This window comes from Homo sapiens, chromosome 2 (assembly GCF_000001405.40).
Source record: "Homo sapiens chromosome 2, GRCh38.p14 Primary Assembly".
Taxonomy (NCBI): domain Eukaryota; kingdom Metazoa; phylum Chordata; class Mammalia; order Primates; family Hominidae; genus Homo; species Homo sapiens.
The window spans coordinates 181,761,247-181,781,398 of NC_000002.12; the positions used below are offsets into that span (position 1 = coordinate 181,761,247).

General features: G+C 39.1%; 1 annotated feature.

The window, feature by feature from the left end:
- Positions 15,136 to 15,430: a silencer, noted in NCBI's record as "tiled region #14896; HepG2 Repressive non-DNase unmatched - State 23:Low". NCBI's record gives its function as "represses a minimal TATA promoter and a strong SV40 promoter by Sharpr-MPRA in HepG2 cells {active_cell/tissue: HepG2}" and the evidence as "EXISTENCE:reporter gene assay evidence [ECO:0000049][PMID:27701403]".

Below are 20,152 nucleotides of genomic sequence, written 5' to 3' on the forward strand. Positions count from 1 at the left end.
TCTGAATTCTTGGTATCAGGTGTCTTTTTCAGAAAGATTCACCTCATTATGTTTGGCCAGAGTGTCCGGGTTACAATCAGTTGCAATATATTGATGTCAAAACTCCCTTGAAAATGTGAGCATGCCTCCATGTTAATAAAAAAAAGTCAACCATCTACATTTTTTTTTAAGAGACAAGGTCTCACTCTGTTGACCAGGCTGGAGTGCAGTGGCATGATCATAGATCATGGCAGTCTCAAAGTCTTGGGTTCAAGCAATCCTCCTGCCCTCACCCTCCCTAGTAACTGGGACTACAGGCACACAATGCTGCTATTTATTTATTTAGTAGAGACAGGGGTCTTGCTTTGTTGCCCAAGATGGTCATGTACTCCTGGCTTCAATCCTCCTGCCTCAGCCACTCAAAATGCTGGGATTACAGGCATAAGCCACCATACCTGGCTACATCTTAACAGAAGGTTAAGTACAGTCAGAATAACCAATGAAAGGGGCTAATGGAGCTGATTATACCAATTCGGGCAGTCTCTGCTAATAACTCAGTTTGCAAACTCACAATCGGTTTCACTAGAAAGGATTACAGCATCCCAAGCAGTGGGTCTTAATTATAATTACAGGTGTGGCATAGACTGCAGGAGCAGATGAACTCATTAGAAACAAAGATTCGCTCTGCTAGATCATCTATCTTTACTAAAGAACAAAGAGCAGTAGCATGAATAAGTGAGTTACCATGTAAACAAATTAAGCAATCAGTAACATACAAACAGAATGCATGTTCCTCAGCCAATTTACACGCTTCTCTGTTACAAAGAAACTCTCTCTACCACCTCTGTCCTTTCTCTGGTGGAGGTGGGTTTTTCTTCTCTGCACTCTCCAACCTCCAGTTGGTGGGCAGGGGCTGACGGGGTAACAGTAATGAAATCTTATTCCTTTCATCTTTCACCATCTCCCTTCATCTCCAGTCCTATTGTGCAACTATCACAAGAGGACAGCATAGGCAATGACCTTGAATGAGAATGTTAAGGCTTCAGTTTTCTCTCAGCTAGAAGGAGGACAGAAACCACACTTTTTTTTAGGGCTTGGATACTACAGTGATAGGCACTGATTTAATTTTTCTCTAAAAAGTTCTCTTTTAGTCGAACAGCGAATTAGGTCGGATTTGAGGCTAATTGGAGCAACATGGTTTACTTCTTGACTTCCAGCATTTTATAAAAGCAGTTTACAGGGCTAGAAGCCAATTCCCCACTGGCAAAGTGAATCAAAAGAATACTGCAATTATGCAAATGATCAAGAAATAAAGAAAAAAATGCTACAACAAAAGATCCTATTTGCCTACACTTAGGTGGGGCAATTGTACCCCCTTTCTCTATTTTTGTTTGTCTGTGTTCTCCAAGATGGATCTACTCCAAGTGGGCTGAATGATGAAGGATATAATATTGAGGGCCTCACAGGGGTTTGAGTTCCAGTGGGGCCCTTCAGATGATGATCATGAAATGGATTATAAGCCCTTCCAGGCAAGCAAGACTTTTAACTTGGTACTGTACTGTTTTATAACATCTTCTCGCCTTGGATGTGAAGTGTATTGAGGCCAGCAAAAAGGCATTACAAAGATGCAAAAAGAAAAATAAGATCGAAAACTGACAAAAGAAATCCTTAAGAAAGGTATCCATTGAGCCATGGTCTCAAGGAATCTCGGAAGCTTTCATGATCAGGTAAATTAATTCTCCCCACTTACTCAACCCTTACGCTTATCAGCATCTTATTCTAATCTAGAGATCATTGAAAATGAGGGGGTGGGGCTTAACCTCTCAAGTGGTTGTCCTCCTCATTCCACACTGGCAAGAGTGCACATATCTGGGAAAATAACATGCGTCTCACCTACGTAAGCCTGTTAGTGTTTGAAGTCAATAAAGCACTTGAAAAGAAATAGCATTTGAAATAATCTTCACTGTGGTCTTTAATGCTGATGGTTAAATTAAGGGCAACCCTTACCTTCTTTTACTTTGCTTTCATAATACTTTCCACTGGGCAATATTACTATAACTATAGGGGCCAAAGTAAAACTTCCCTTTGCTTTTCGAAGGTTCTCTGAAAATCAACTGACAGTAGGCAGATTAACAAGAGAAAAGTCATACAAATTTATTAATGTGTACAGGAGAGAATCCCAGAGGGAAAATCAACCACGCAGTGGGATACAGATGGTTATACACCCTTCTTTATAGGGAAAGGGGAGATAAGGAATTGTGGATGATATTAGGGGAGTAGTAAGTGATTTTTAGGGGAATTCAATGGGCTTAAAGAACATTGTATGCAATGGCCTGGGACAAAGTCGACTGGGCCTGCAGAGAAGACAATAGCTTGTGACAAAAGTCCATCCAGGTGTTGTTGACAGACTTCAGTCTTTCTTCCTGTGATATTTCAGTTCCTGAAAACTGAAGGAAGCGACCAGAGGTAATTGCTTTCTCTTTTGGTGTGTTCCGACTTTAGGCAGATAAGAGAACTTTAGGGAATAACTTCATCCTGTGCTTTGGAAGAGACAGAAGATTGAGAGAGAGGTGGGGGTAGGTCAGAAAGACCTTGAAACTTCTTCAGTTCACCATGTTAAAGCACCATTTTATTGTGCAGTAGCCCAATGTTGGCTCACCCCAACCTCTAACCCCCTGGGTTCAAGAGATTCTCCTGCCTCAGCGTCCGGAGTAGCTGGGATTACAGGCGCCCATCACCACACCCGGCTAATTTTTGTATTTTTAGTAGAGACAGGGTTTCACCCTGTTGGCCAGGCTGGTCTCAAACTCCTGACCTCAAGTGATCCTCCCACCTTGGCCTCCCAAAGTGCTGGGATTACAGGCGTGAGCCACTGTGCCCAGCTAATTACTCTTAATTCTATTCCAATTAATGTGTGCTAGGTTAAAATTCCACCCAGATCTTGACTTCTAGAATATTTTGATGAACCATTTGCTGCCACATCTGCATGCCAGACTTCTTATCTGATTTCCTACACTGCATGAAAACACCGTCAGCCAGGGGACGTGCCTTATCTGTCTGTTGCAGAGAAGGCTCCATCTGTCCTTTGCAGAAGAAACTGAAGGCCTTGTCTGTAACAGCTCTTGGCTGTAGCATCTTGGCTCCCCAAAAGAAGAGCATCTTCCCTCTTCTCTACTAGCCCCAGAACGAGTGTGCCTGCAAGCAATTCCACAGTGACCCCTTTTCACAACAATTTGGAGCCAAATAAATAATTAAGAAAGATAAAGGATTCAGAGAGGCCTGTCTCAGTCCTCTCCTCCCACATGGGGGCTGGGAACACCACCCCAGGACCTGTGTCTCATGTGACAAGAGCATCAGACCTGGCTTTGTGCAGGTTTTCAGGCAGAGCCCAGCAGCCTTAGTATCTATGCTTTGTGGACTGGAGCAAACTGTAACCAGAAAGCCGGTCAGCTAGTCCTGGGAAACAATAGAAGTCACTATTGAAAGGAGCTTGCTTGTCAAAGACTAATCTTTAATAACTTTCAAAGGGCTTGGCCCTCTCATTAGTCTTTGTTCCACCTGCTGGAGGGGATAATGCTGCCATTCTTTTGTTACAATGTCCAGGCCTTGCTTTTGACTAGCCACACTTGATAAACACTGAACTTTCTCCTCTGTCATTGAGGGCCCCAGTTGCCAAACCAATGTCTACAAACTAATAAAGGGCATGCAATTTTGTGTATTGAAAACATGGAAATAAGACTACCATATATCTATTTCTATGCATATTTTCAGGGGTGTCTCCCCAACCAGATTCCTAAGAAAGAGCTGCCCATCACCAAGAGCTTTATGCTCGTCATAGGCTGGGTGTGGTGGCTCATGCCTGTAATCCTAGCACTTTGGAAGGCCAAAGCAGGTGGATTGCTTGAGCTCAGGAGTTCAAGACCAGCCTGGGCCATATGGTGAAACCTTGTCTCTACTAAAATACAAAAAAATTAGCTGGGCACGGCGGCATGTGCCTGTAATCCCAGCTACTTGGGAGGCTGAGGCAAGAGAATCACCTGAACCCGGGAGGCAGAGGTTTCAGTGAGCTGAGATCATGCCATTGCACTCCAGCATGGGTGACAGAGTGAGACTCCATCTCAAAAAAAAAAAAAAAAAGAAAAAAGAAAAGAGCTTTATGCTCATCATAAAGCTCTTAATTACTTTAACAAATGCATTCCCCAATCCCTTTTATCAGTAGTCACCCTCCAGTTGGAAACTCCTTATCCAAAGCCAAATTTCTCATATGAAGGAAGTTGTTTTTATTTAAGACTTTAATTCACATACAACAATAAAAATAGTTGAGGAAAGATGCAGGAGTCTTATTTTGTCATTTCTTAATAGGTTCCTTTATAGTTCCTCCTGCCAGCCTTACTCCACTTTAGCTTACAGGTGTATACTTCTAAACAACAGATCCATTCTCTCTTATCTGCAATAACTAACAGGACACCACAAACATAAAATGAAATTACCTTCATTACTGATTTTATTACTGCTCATGATTAATGGGCAAAGTGTTTAATTCTCTCATTTCTCACAACAACGACTCTTAGGTTAGGTGCTATTATTATTATCTCACTTTAGAGATGAGGAAACAGAAGAAAGAAGAACCATGGAGGGGTAGATGGAGGGGTGTGGGGAAGGTGTTAAGAGTTGAATGCAGCCAGATCTGTGAATTTAAGTGTAATGATGATGAAAAATTTTCCCCTTCCAAAGAGTAACATAGGGTGAGAACTTGGTAAGCTTTTCCCTCAAACTCAACTTTTTCTTTTTTCTGCCCCTAGCCCCCCACCAACCACCCAAAAAAGAGCTTGGATTTACCAGGAAATGACATTTAAACCAGCATTAATTTTACTCTTCTCGTCATAGCTAATGCCATCAGGCTTTGTGTGAATACTTTGCACCCCTTTTGGTTTGACACAAAGAGTGCTATAATTTTATGCTTTATACATTTATGTTGTCTAACAGACTAGATCTGCTACCTAACAGAGCAATCTGCATGTGACATTAAACTTCCAGAGGAAGCCACTATCCTACTCTTGGAGAATGAGTCACAGCTTAATGGGAGAGGTAGGGATGGAGGTGCTTTTATGTGTCTTCAGTATTCAACTTACTCTTCTCTTTGAGGTATTCAAGGAAGCCAGGCCCACTCTGGAGAAGGAAAGGGTAACAGCCTCTTAGAAATGGGCCACAGGCTTTATGCCTGTAAAAGATACATCATGACACCTTTTCAATTGGTTACCTAACTGATCTCTCAGCAGTATAGCAGAGGGAGAGGATGTAAACATCTCTAGTTAGAGGATGAGATAGTTAAGGACTAATAAAGTAAAATAACTTTATGAGAAGGGTATAAATTTGAGTGCCATTATCAGAATGCTGTAGTGTTTTTTTTTTAAATTTTTTATTATACTTGAAGTTTTAGGGTACATGTGCACAACGTGCAGGTTTTTACATATGTATACATGTGCCATGTTGGTGTGCGGCACCCATTAACTCATCATTTAACATTAGGTATATCTCCTAATGCTATCCCTCCCCCTCCCCAACCCCACAACAGGCCTCAGTATGTGATGTTCCCCTTCCTGTGTCCATGTGTTCTCATTGTTCAATTCCCACCTATGAGTGAGAACATGCGGTGTTTGGTTTTTTGTCCTTGCGATAGTTTGCTGAGAATGATAGTTTCCAGCTTCATCCATGTCCCCACAAAGGACATGAACTCATCATTTTTTATGGCTGCATAGTATTCCATGGTGTATATGTGCCACATTTTCTTAATCCAGTCTATCATTGATGGACTTTTGGGTTGGTTCCAAGTCTTTGCTATTGTGAATAGTGCCGCCATAAACATACATGTGCACGTGCCTTTATAGCAGCATGATTTATAATCCTTTGGGTATATACCCAGTAATGGGATGGCTGGGTCAAATGGTATTTCTAATTCTAGGTCCCTGAGGAATCACCACACTCTCTTCCACAGTGGTTGAACTAGTTTACAGTCCCACCAACAGTGTAAAAGTGTTCCTGTTTCTCCACATCCTCTCCAGCACCTGTTGTTTCCTGACTTTTTAATGATCGCCATTCTAACTGGTGTGAGATGGTATCTCATTGTGGTTTTGATTTGCATTTCTCTGATGGCCAGTGATGATGAGCATTTTTTCATGTGTCTTTTGGCTGCGTAAATGTCTTCTTTTGAGAAATGTCTGTTCATATCCTTCACCCATTTGTTGATGGGGTTGTTTGTTTTTTTCTTGTAAATTTGTTTGAGTTAATTGTAGATTCTGGATATTAGCCCTTTGTCAGATGAGTAGATTGCAAAAATGTTCTCCCATTCTGTAGGTTGCCTGTTCACTCTGATGGTAGTTTCTGTTGCTGTGCAGAAACTCTTTAGTTTAATTAGATCCCATTTATCAGTTTTGGCTTTTGTTGCCATTGCTTTTGGTGTTTTAGACATGAAGTCCTTGCCCAAGCCTATGTCCTGAATGGTATTGCCTAGATTTTCTTCTAGGGTTTTTATGGTTTTAGGTCTAACATTTAAGTCTTTAATCCATCTTGAATTAGTTTTTGTATAAGGTGTAAGGAGGGGATCCAGTTTCAGCTTTCTACATATGGCTAGCCAGTTTTCCCAGCACCATTTATTAAATAGGGAATCCTTTTCCCATTTCTTGTTTTTGTCAGATTTGTCAAAGATCAGATAGTTGTAGATATGTGGCATTATTTTTGAGGGCTCTGTTCTCTTCCATTGGTCTATATCTCTGTTTTGGTACCAGTACCATGCTGTTTTGGTTACTGTAGCCTTGTAGTATAGTTTGAAGTCAGGTAGTGTGATGCCTCCAGCTTTGTTCTTTTTGCTTAGGATTGACTTGGCAATGCAGTCTCTTTTTTGGTTCCATATGAACTTTAAAGTAGTTTTTTCCAATTCTGTGAAGAAAGGCATTGGTAGCTTGATGGGGATGGCATTGAATCTATAAATTACCTTGGGCAGTATCGCCATTTTCACAATATTGATTCTTCCTACCCATGAGCATGGAATGTTCTTCCATTTGTTTGTATCCTCTTTTGTTTCGTTGAGTAGTGGTTTGTAGTTCTCCTTGAAGAGGTCCTTCACATCCCTTGTAAGTTGGATTCCTAGGTATTTTATTCTCTTTGAAGCAATTGTGAATGGGAGTTCACTCGTGATTTGGCTCTCTGTTTGTCTGTTATTGGTGTATAAGAATGCTGTGATTTTTGCACATTGATTTTGTATCCTGAGACTTTGCTGAAGTTGCTTATCAGCTTAAGGAGATTTTGGGCTGAGATGATGGGGTTTTCTAGATATACAATCGTGTCATCTGCAAACAGGGACAATTTGACTTCCTCTTTTCCTAATTGAATACCTGCCTGATTGCCCTGGCCAGAACTTCCAACACTATGTTGAATAGGAGTGGTGAGAGAGGGCATGCCTGTCTTGTGCCAGTTTTCAAAGGGAATGCTTCCAGTTTTTGCCCATTCAGTATGATATTGGCTGTGGGTTTGTCATAAATAGCTCTTATTATTTTGAGATACGTCCCATCAATACCTAATTTATTGAGAGTTTTTAGCATGAATGGCTGTTGGATTTTGTCAAAGGCCTTTTCTGCATCTGTTGAGATAATTATGTGGTTTTTGTCATTGGTTCTGTTTATATGCTGGCTTTTGTTTATTGATTTGCATATGTTGAACCAGCCTTGCATCCCAGGGATGAAGCCCACTTGATCATGGTGGATAAGCTTTTTTATGTGCTGCTGGATTTGTTTTGCCAGTATTTTGTTGAGGATTTTTGCATCAATGTTCATCAGGGATATTGGTCTAAAATTCTCTTTTTTTGTTGTGTCTCTGCCAGGCTTTGGTATCAGGTTGATGCTGGCCTCATAAAATGAGTTAGGGAGGATTCCCTCTTTTTCTATTGATTGGAATAGTTTCAGAAGGAATGGTACCAGCTCCTCCTTATACGTCTGGTAGAATTTGGCTCTGAATCCATCTGGTCCTGGACTTTTTTTGGTTGGTAAGCTATTAATTATTGCCTCAACTTCAGAGCCCATTATTGGTCTATTCAGAGTTTCAACTTCTTCCTAGTTCAGTCTTGGGAGGGTGTATGTGTTGAGGAATTTATCCATTTCTTGTAGATTTTCTAGTTTATTTGTGCAGAGGTGTTTCTAGTATTCACTGATGGTAGTTTGTATTTCTGCGGGATCGGTGGTGATATCCCCTTTATCATTTTTTATTGTGCCTGTTTGATTCTTCTCTCTTTTCTTCTTTATTAGTCTTGCTAGTGGTCTATCAATTTTGTTGATATTTTCAAAAAACCAGCTCCTGGATTCATTGATTTTTTGAAGGGTTTTTTTGTGTCTCTATTTCCTTCAGTTCTGCTCTGATCTTAGTTATTCTTGCCTTCTGATAGCTTTTGAATGTGTTTGCTCTTGCTTCTCTAATTCTTTTAATTGTGATGTTAGGGTGTCAATGTTAGATCTTTCCTGCCTTCTCTTGTGGGCATTTAGTACTATAAATTTCCCTCTACACACTGCTTTAAATGTGTCCCAGAGATTCTGGTATGTTGTGTCTTTGTTCTTGTTGCTTTCAAAGAACATCTTTATTTCTGCCTTCATTTCGTTATGTACTCAGTAGTCAGAATGCTGTAGTCTAAAGCATCCCTTCTACCAATGCTTTCTAGGCAGCAACATAAAAATATCTTTCTATGTTTCTGAAACTGTTAGGTTGTCTTTCAAATATAGTGAAGTTTTTGTGCTCAAAATCTAAACTCAGTTTTAAATGAACACTTACAAGATTGTTGCAGACATTCTCCAGGCATCCACAGGCTTGCTTGTATTAAAAATTGCTTTATACAAATAAATAATTGGAGTATTGAGGAGAGCTATTGATGGTCTTGGTTTTTTACTCTCACAGCTAGCTCCTTTTAATTTTCATTGTGGAATAATGCAGTATTTCTCAAATAAATAAGACCTCCTTCAGTGTTGTGAGTATCTATGCTGGTCTTTAATAACTGGCATAGGTGGTTGATGGCAAGAGGCCTTTAGGCACATACCTAACAAGGCCTTTAGGCTTTCATTGTTACCTAATCCCACAAGATCTGTCATGTTTTATTGGCTTCTCTGGTTAGTCATTGTATGGTTTGGCACTATAGTAAAATTTCACATTTTTGGAAACAATAGTGTGAACAAAGATCAGAGTTTTTTTTTTTCTGTTATGTGTTATTCAATTTGCTCTGATGCTTTTTTAAAAAAAAACTTATTCAGCCAATTATATACTCTCTCCTATAGTAGCCCAATCTTTTGATCAGGGGTATTAGATTCATGACTTGTATTTGAGGACTTTGTGGATAGGGAAAGGTGTGATTGCACTCGTGGAGAAATAAAGATTGAGCTAGTAGCTTGGAAGAGAAGAAACGGGTATTTATTATAGTGGAGGCAGATAATTCATTAGAATAATGGCAAGTCTATAACATGCTGTAGCTAGCTGTGCCTGTGTGTTTGTGTGTGTATGTGTCTGTGTGTATTGTGTTACATACCCTATTAATTCTTTAGTATGTAGTCTGTAGGCACTGGTACAGTGGTACTGGCAAAGCATTTAGAATACTATAGGCCCTTAGTAAACGTTAGGAAACCCAACTTAGAATTTTTTTAAATGTAAAGTTTTCTTTTCTAGGTAGGCAGTCAAAGGCTTTTTTCCCCTCCATTCTTAAGAAAGGATTACTAAAAAGAAAACTTCTCAGAATATCGGTCCTTTGTTTTCTAGTTCTCTCTAACTTTAGGTAAGAACATTTGAAGTTCAATTTTGAAATTTAAAAATGTTTTAATTTAGCATCTATTATGTACCAATCAATGTATAATTACACTGAAACACAGAGAACACTGTCCTCTGATTTCCCAAAACTTACCATCTTAGTACTGGAAAATATAGGTTTTTTTAAAATATTCTAGAGCATATTTAAAATTTAAGCTTGTGTTGTAAATTTTAGATCCAAATCTTTTGTTATCTGGGCAGATTTTATCTTTATAGAAAAGGGATAGATGCGAATCCAGTGATCCTGCTTCTTGTTTTGTCAATAAACAACTATAGTTTTTGTACCTAATTATCTCTTCTTAGTTAGCTATTATTTATTGATTCTTTTTTCTTTCTGGGCCATGAACAAAAATGAATGTGGCTTATTGTGACACTAATGTTTTATTTCCTGTGGTTTTTAACAAAGTAGCTCCAATACCAAACAGAAGAAGCTGCAGCATCTTGCCAGAACTTGGGAACAGCAAACTTATTAAATCCCAAGGAATGAGCTCTTGAAAACTTTACCAGTGTTTGCTATTTCACGGAGCTATTCTGGACCTCAGCTGCCATTGACAGCTGTGAAACTGGCAGCTCAGAGACACAAGAAAGATGTATCATTTATCTCAACTTAGCCATATTTTCTAGAGTCTAGGAAGCAACTCAAATGTTTCTCAGCGGGTTAACCTGAAGGTTTTTCTCAGTTGCCTTGAGGGTTCTCAGTGAAGACAGCTTGCTGATTTGTACATAAATCATAATTTTCTAGAAATCATGGCTAATTCCAAGCTCTATTAGGATGTCTGGACAGTAGCTGAACAGCCTTTTGGCAGGAAGTACTAGGAGGGAGACGGGGATGCAGAGTGCAATTCCATATCATCACTCAATAGAAGTTTAGAAGGTGAGGAAAGTATATGGAGGTTAGTTGTTGATGTGTTAATGCTCATAGCTATACATTTAGGATGGGTCTTTATATTCAGTCTAAATTCATCTTCAAATATCTGTTTAGGATGGGTAATGGGTGAACGTATCTTTCAAAATCTAAGCAGAGATCTAAGTGCTGCCCCCTTTTTTCTAGAAACCACCAGGAAAATACATTTCTAGTCTTATGTATTCTCTTCAGTTTGCTAATTGCATTCTGATTTGTCACTGAATTTGTCATGAATTGATTTCTGTATCTCCATCTGAACACTACTGGGATTTTACAAGTTTATGACTATTCCATCTCCTTCCCAAAAGAATTTAAGGGAGCTTATAAAAATATAACCAATAATTTTTTGTAACTTTAAGGCTCATGTTCCAAATGCAAAAAGTCCTTAAGATTTACTTTTAAATAATTATGGCAAACGTGAACTAACCAGAAGTAACAGGTAAGCAGCAAAAATAAATTTTACTTCATGTGATTTTCCCTGGTCTTATCATCACAGTAATAACTAAGAAGAGTCTGCCACCTAAAACTGGGCAGAGCTGCTGGGCTAGCCAAAGTCAGTACCACACGCCCAGGAGTGTTGTCAGAACGCTCTTGCTTTCATCACCCTTGGGTGTTCATGGAGGAGGGATGACACTAAGAGGAATGCAGCCAAACAGTAATTGTTAGGTGGCACCTTCTGCTGGGAAATAAGATAATTAAGTAATTGCCTTCATTTCATACCACCACTTACGGATACCATGGCCTATCTTTGGGAAAAATAATAACCCTTAAACTGGACCAAGCCCATACTTTATAACATATAATTTTCAGGGCTCTGCATTGTTTAGCATTTGAGATTGCTGTTTGGATACATTTCAAAGGAACACAGACAAGTTGGCTAACCAAGTTAACCTGGCTAACCTGAACCAGCTAACCTGGACCTCTTCAGAAAGTGATTATCCAGGCTGAATCTTTCAGGATCTCGTCTTCCCCCTCCTATTTCCCTCTCCATCATATTACTGTGTTCATACCTTATTGGTGCTGACAGCAGAAATGTTGGCTGAAACTGTCAGGAAAAGCACAGTCAGTCCAAATTGAAGGACATTAGGCATGTAGATGAAAGATTTGGTGGGAAATGAAATATGGTTTTAAATGAATTTTAAGTAAGTTTTCAGATCCATAATATCTTGGATTAAGAAAAAAAAGTACCTTTTTATGTTCTTCTCAACTATAAATGTGTGCAAGTGAATCCCATTTTTTACAATCAGTTAGCAAATACCGTCTTTCCCCATTGGTTTCCCCATAGTATTGTCACAGATTTACACTTCTCCAAAGAAGAGTTTTACTACTTGCTTTCTTCCCATTTGCTTCTCTGCCCTCTTCAGGAAGTCACCTGACTTCCTCTTCTATCATTCTGATAGCATAATTCTCCCCAGGGTCACTAAATGCCTTCTTAATTGCCAAATCCATTGGATGTTTTCAGTCCTTATCTTGCTGGGCCTCTGCTGCATTTGGTGCTATGGATCATTCTTTATTTTTTGAAGCTTCCTTTTCTCTTAATATTTGCTAAACTGCAGCCCTCTAGCTATTCTTGTATCATTCTGACCATCCTTTTCCAGAAACCTCTTCTTCTACCCATAATATAAATGTTGCCATACTCTTGGGTCACATCTTCCATATACCGCTCTTCTCATTCCAGATGCTTCATCTGAGTAAAATTGTTATGATCTGAATGTTTGTGTTCTCTCCAAGTTCATGTGTTGAAACCTAATCTCCAATGCGATGGTATTAGAAGGCAGGGCCTTTGGGAGATGATTACATCAAGAAGGCTCCTCCCTCATGAATGGAATTAGTGCCTTTATAAGAGGTCCCAAAGAGCTACCTTGCCCCTTTGTCCATGTGAGAACATAGCTAGAACGTGCTGTCTGTGAGGAACAGGCCTTCACGAGAAACTGAATCTGCTGGTGCTTTGATCTTGGACTTCCCAGCTTCCAGAGCTGTGAGGAATAAATATTTTTTGCTTATAAGCCACCCAAGTTATGGTATTTTTGTTATAGCAACCAAAACAGATTAAGATAAAAATCTCTTGTGATTGAACTCATACCTGCTTGCTAATGACTACCATACATATATATGCACGTATATTTGGGGGGGTGTGTGTGTTCAGTCTCTTCTTCAAGTTTTAAATTTTTACATCTATTTTCTATTGGTCATTGTCACCTAGATAGCTCACTGGCCTCTCAAGTGGAACTGACTGTGTTGAATTTCATCTTTCCTCTTCCATTGGCTCCTCTTAGAGTATAGTAGTTCCCCTTTATCCGTGGGGGATGCATTCCAAGACCCCCAGTAAATACCAAAAACCTCTGGTAGAACCAAGTCCCATTGTCCTCATTTAGAACATGTTTTTCCTCATGCCTTCCACCCACAAATTTAATGCCTTTTCTTTCATAACTAAGTACTTATCATGCACTTTGACTATGACTTTTGCAGTTTGAGGTGTGACAGCAAAACTAGCACAGATTTCTTTTTCTTGCTTCAAAATCTCATAGGTAGAAGATTCACTCTTACTATACATCTTAGCAACCTCAGCATATGATTTTTTTTCTTTCCTTATTAAGTGGAGAACTTTTACTTTTTTAGTTAAAGGAAGCACTTTATAGCTTCTCTTTGGCATTTCCATGTTGCCGGCATCACTACTCTTGTGCTTTGGGGCCACTATTAAGTAAAATAAGAGTGACTTAGGCACAATCGCAGCAAATTGCTATGGCTGATCTGATATACAAGACAGCTACTAGGATGCATAACATCTACAGTGTGGATATGATGGACAAAGGGATGATTCATGTCACGGGTGGGGTGGAGTGGGATGGTATGAGATTTCATCATACTACTCAGAATGGCATGCAATTTAAAACTTATGAATTGTTTATTTCTGGAATATTCCATTTAATATTTTCAGACCACAGTTGACTGCAGGTAACTGAAACCACAGAAAGCGAAACTGGATAAGGGGGAACTACTGCATTCTCTTTCCTTTGTTGACTGCACCAAACTTTCAATTACTCAAATGAAAAATCCGGAAGTTTGTTTTACACCTCTTACCCTATCAGTTGTCTTGCCTGGCTAGATTTGTCTCCAAATCCATCTTGAGTGAATTCCTTTTCTCCATTCCTACTACCACAACCTTAGTTAGGATCTTTGTCATCTCTTGCTTACATTAATGTAAGTTTTCTAACTGTTCTTGCTCCTCTAGCCTTTCTACTCAAATGTATCCTCCACAAGACTATCTGAAAGCTCTAATGAAAATAGAAATTTGGCCCATTTTGCTCCCTTGTTTAAATGTCTTCAACAGCTATTCATCGTCTATACTGTCTTACGGATCCTCTACAGAGCACTTAAAATTCTTTATATGAAAATAGGCTTCTAGGCCAGGCACAGTGGCTCACACCTGTAATCCCAGCACTTTGGGAGGCCGAGGCGGGCAGATCAGGAGTTTGAGACAAGCCTGGCCAACATGGTGAAACCCCATCCCTACTAAAAATACAAAATTAGCCGGGCGTGGTGGCATGCACATGTAGTCCCAGCTACTTGGGAGGCTGAGGCAGGAGAATCGCTTGAACCCAGGAGGTGGAGGTTGCAGTGAGCCGAGATCATGCCACTGCACTCCAGCCTGGCGACAGAGTGAGACTCCATCTCAAAACAAGAAAAAAAAAAAAAAAGGAAAAGAAATAAAAAGAAAATAGGCTTCTCCGCAAACTGCATACCACTGATCTTTCTTGCCATTGTCGGTTGTATGCTAAGCTTCCATATCAACTTGCTTACTGTTCTCTGTAAATGCTGTTTCTTACCTGTAAGGCTTTTTTTTTTTTTTTTTTTTTTTTTTTTTAGATCTGGTCTCATATTGTTGGAATGGTCTTTCCTGCCTAATTTACCAGCAGCTAACTCCTACTCATGCTTTAAGGCTTAGATCTGGTATTACATCTGCCAAGAATTTTCTGAAACCTTCCAAGTAAGATTCACAAGTGATATGGTGCTGTATAGCATTAAAATTATAAATTTTAAATTCACCTCTAGCATTAAACTATAGACTCTGAAGTCAGACAGTTTCATATTAGCATATTCCACATGGCTTCCATAGTACATTGCATACAATAGGCACTCAGTGAATGTTGGATGACTGCACAATAGTTAAGTGTTGATTAAATATTGGTATGTGCCTTACCTAATACTCTTGGGTACCAGTATCTATTGATTTATGATTGCTAGATCTTTCATGTCTTATAGTTTCTTCCCAAGTGCTATGTATTTAAGATTTCTTAACAATTATATTACTTTTACAGAAATTTTATAATAATAGTTCTTGTAAGTTTTAACTCCTCAGATAGCTAACTCCTTCAGAGGCTTTAATTTATATTTTTATAAAACAGTTATATGTTCTCTGCCAACACCTACAGGTTTTTCTGGAAACCGCTGTAAAAAAGGAAAGCAACTTCAACACGCATTTCTAACTCATTGATATGCCAAGTTCCTTTTGGAATGATAAGTTGCCAAGGACCAAAGCACTGTGACTTGTCATCCCCAGTGAATGAGAGGAAGAGGTGGTGTGGAAAGAACATCCTGTTGTGCAGAACCTCAGTAACTAAAGTGTTGTCATCTCACATTATTTTTTTTTGTCATTAGTGCATCTGTTTAATCTTATACTGCCCCTGATACTACATGGTTGACTTAGATAACTAAAATCCAGATGATCCAAACAAGCTGGAGCAAAAGAAAAGCAGTACAGTTTGAGCGAATTCCTTACTTCACAGTCCTAAGTGGTAATAGTAGCGCACGAGACAGTTCTGAGTCTCACAAGCCCCATCTTCCAGCTCCTGAAGATCTTGGAATGTTATAATGCCAATCCCAATGACTTTGCCTTAGCTCACCTATCAGACCCATGGCATTACCAGAAACAATATAGTTCTATTTTAGAAAAATACATAGTTTGAGAATATCAAGCACTATAGAAGCAAGTTTTCATTAATAACAATACTTGAGGTCAGGCACTGTGGCTCATGCCTGTGATCCCCTCAATTTGGGAAGCCAAGGTGGGTGGATCACTTGAGCCCAGGAGTTCCAGACCAGCCTGGGCAACATAGGGAGACCTCATCTTTACAAAAAAAATTAAAAAATCATTCAGGCATGTTGGCATATACCTGTAGTCCCAGCTACTAGGGAGGCTGAGGTGGGAGGATCATTTTAGCCAAGGAGTTTGAGGCTACAGTAAGCCATGATCACACCACTACACTCAAGCCTGGGTGACACAGTGAGTCCCTGTCTTAAAAATAAAGTAAAATAAAACAAAGTAAAACTTTTTATTAAAAAAACCCACAATATTTGCTTTCTATAAAAAATAGTTCTACTAGTTGAGTGTGTACTATTTCAAGCATGCGGTACTTGCTGTACATGTTCTCTTGCTTAATCTATACATTAATATTCTGAAATAATATCCAATTTTAATACATGTAAACCAAAGCTCAGAGGGAATAAGTACTTTGCTTAAGGTTATATGGTTGGTAAGTACCTGAACTGAGATGAAAATGTAAGTCAGTTTTTGTCTCGATTTAAGTATTCTAAAACTCATTGTTCTTTTTGCTAAAATATAGCTCAGTTTTACTCTTACAGTACTGTTGGATATTTTTTTATCTTTAAGTAACTATACATTGAAAGTATTGAATATTTCATTTCAAATTCTTGAGGGAAGGGTACATTTATTACTGTCAGTCTCAAATGCAAGAACTTGACAAATGTTAGCCATAATTAAGTGTTAGCATTTGCTATGTATTTTAAAGTACAAATGACAGTGCTAAGCACTTTCATTCACAAGGAAGGATGCGAAATATCTCTTGCTTTCATGGGTCATATAACCTGTTTGGTTAGTCAGTCCCTGTATTTGTGATGACAGCTTAGCAAATTGATAGTGCTTATCTTTATGGCTCTTTAGTTGAACTTGATTTTGATCTATTGAAATGGAAGTATTGGAAGTACTAACTTCACATTACTTACACACTCACAAAATATGAGTTTATCAAACATGAGAAAAATTATTTAAAGAAACGATAACACTGGCCTTTAAGCCCATTTGAAGTTCTGTACTTTTTCGTAGTCTGCAGGAAACTTACATCTTCAGAAACTCACTCAGAAGCATTCTTGAGTTATGAGACAAATCATTAATAATTAGGAACTCTAACATGAAGTTTCCAAATCCTTGAAATCTTCCTAAGGAAAGGAGATATACACCCTTAATATGAAATTGAACCTTTTGTTTCTTTTCTAATAAGGGCAGGGCTGATTTTATCTTATTTGAAAAAATATTTTGATTTTGTCATTTTATTTTAATAAAAACATCTAGCTGAATTCCTTCTTTGCTGTTTTCTCAAGTTTATCTTGGCTAGATGAAATTCTCTTTCCTGATGTTAGATTAAAATGTAAAATGTGGTTAATTGCACTTTCCTGCATACTATCATCTTTAAAAATTAAGTTAGAGAAGGTGAGAAATGGGCTTATACCTTCACCTTTCCTTTAAAAATAAAACAGATGTTAATTATTATGTGGACATACCATATTATAAAGTTATACCATAGAGTCATAGTTTCCCAGAAGTATGTCAATATTATATTTTAAATTGCAAAGAAAAGATTATATCAGCATAATAGTTAGATCCAATGAACTGAGAGACACAATTTTATGGGATAGCTATTAATGAGTTGCACAGTTCAAATACAACTTCTGAGTTCACTTAAATCTAGCTGTGCTATGTAAAAAGACAAAGGAGGCAGTGAGAGCTTAGCTGGGTTTCAAACCCATAAAGCTGGCTCTGAACAGCATGAGTCACTCAGAGATAAAGGCATTCAGTGATTTACTTGAATCCATTCGGTGCCAGCCTGGAAAAGATTTGGGAAATTAGCAGTGTCCTCACTTTTTTGATGGCGTGGCTAAAGAAAGGCTAATTCATGAAAAGGAGAAACCCTTTTCATTTGACATTGGATTTCCTCCTAGCTCAAACACAAATGGCATTACTAATAACACAATGTGCTGGGAGACTAGCAGGATATTGTGTCCCTTTAAGAATAGGCTACCATCTTGAGCATAATAACTAACTGGTGACCTGGGTAATTTTGAATCCATAAACAATTTCATTTGACAGATTATCCCTTCTTGCTTAAAAAAAAAAAAGACATCAATAAGAGTTCACTAATTTCCCAAGCAGCTGTGATTTGTAATGAACTTGACAGTTTCCATTTTTACTCTGTGAATGATTTCTTGGCCTGGTTAGAACGTTTGATTCAGGTACATGCAGATTCTTTGTGGAACATTAGACTGATAAACTATGCTTACAATGAGAAAGTACATTATCTGCCATCTTTTCTCTTTGAAGATGTTGACAGTCTGACCATAATTTGACCATTAGCATAACTGAGAAATTGGGCTATGTTAAGTTAACCACAAACTCATCATCATGACCCTAGATGGTATTTGAGTCTCCTCCCCAAAGACAGCACTGCCTCTTCTGAATTCAGGAAAGATGTCAGAGCTCATTTCCGGTTCATCAAGGCCCACACAGGGTCTCCTTGTCAGTGGGTGGAATGATATAGAATGTATGCTGGGACCTTCCCAGAGATGGAATGAAAGAAACAGGAAACAGTTACTTAATGCTAAGAGCTTGTCAACCCCAGACTTCAGGAAAGACCAGAAGGTGATCAATCATACTTTGACCTGAATGCATGTTTTGTCACATTATATCTGTAGGAGCTGCAGCCATGCTTTATGTCTTCCTGTTGGCTTCCTTATTCAGAAAGCACCAACCTAGGGTTGATGGCTGTTCTTGCCCTCCAAGGTCACTTCATGGCTGAAACTTGAATGGGTTTCATTGTATCTTTAAGAGCAGCTCTTTCCTCAGTTTTCTAGTTACTAGCCTTGACAACCTGGAAAGAGTGTTTTACTTATCCTCCTTAATGTCCTCTGCACACGCAGATGATTTGCAGGGAGTATGATTCTACTTCTGGCCTTGGTTTCCCTCCCACCTAAAGTTTCTCTCTCTGTAATTGGCACAGTCTCCTGATACATGGATTGGAGTTAAACTTATTTTAAAACCTGATTTCTGCTAATGTGCATATATCATCCCTAGTTCAATAATAAACCTTTTTTGTTGTTGCTCCTAGCATAATTTGTAAATTACTTCCCAGAGCCGCCTTTACTAAATGTCTGTGACCTTATTGTCAAGAAAGGCTTGACAAGCAGAAGCTGCTGCCTGGGGGCTGGAATGTCCCACTTCCTGTTCTTTCTCTCCAAGCTGCAGCATTGTATCCAAACAAAAACTGAACTCAGTGCACATGTGACCCAGAATTAGTTTGAAATGAAACTCTCTGAAGATGAAAAACTTTACACATTAACTCCTTGTTCCACTCCATCTACTTGCAGTGCTAAGACCACAAAGAGGGCCTTTTAAAAAGAACCAAAATAAACAAATGGATAGCTCAAGCTGTGGATAGAAAAAACAAGCAAACAGCAGCTGCATATAGCATCAGATTAACTGCTGCTGAGCTCTGACAAAATGGCAAGAATCTAAGACAAAGGAGTAGTACTGTTCAAGTAAATGAACCCATAGCCTTGGACTCTACTCAATCCCAGGAGGGTATTTTAGTGTAAAGGAAATCAGTTCTTGGACCCAAACCAAGGGTGTTTATGACTAGAAGGAGCAAAAGAATCCTATGTCTTCACTACAAAAGTACCATTCCTACAGAACCATTTCTTCTGTTATAGAAGCCTGGAAGAACTACCACACCATTCTTCTGTTATAGACACCTGGAACTCATCTTGATGTTTTCCTTGTAGCCATGACTCTAGTTTTTCTATCAATCATTTACTAAGATACTATAAAGAAAGGGCACAAAGCTAGATATTAAACTGGAGGTTTGCTTTCCTTCCTTTAGGAGATGATTTAGCAATAAGTCACAATATGAATGGAAACAGGAAATCACCAGCCAATCACCAAGGTGGCTTCCTTTAAGATGACAGATATAAGGAAAGAAAGCTCAATTTTTAAAGAGGAGTTGCCACCCAGGAGAGGGAAGAAGTTGGGAAGAGGGAAGGAGTTGGAAAGATGGTGATCTGGGGTCCATGAGGAGGTAGTAAGTACCTAGCAGGTGGCTGTGAGCTGTGAGAAGGCTGAGCACCAGGGCTATAAATCCCCTGGGTTCTTGCCAGGCAGGGAATAAAAACCCATGGCTGAGTATGACACTGTTTGTGGTGGCAGAGGTGGGGGTGCCTTTCCCCTAGGAGCCTCTGTGGCAGGGCTCTGCTGTAGTCCTAGTGGTAGCCATTGGAACAGTGGGCCTTGCCTGTGCAGGGTTCTGAGGCAACCTTTAGGGCATAGGCAGCACTTCCCCTTTCTTAAGCCCACTCACTCCCTGCCTC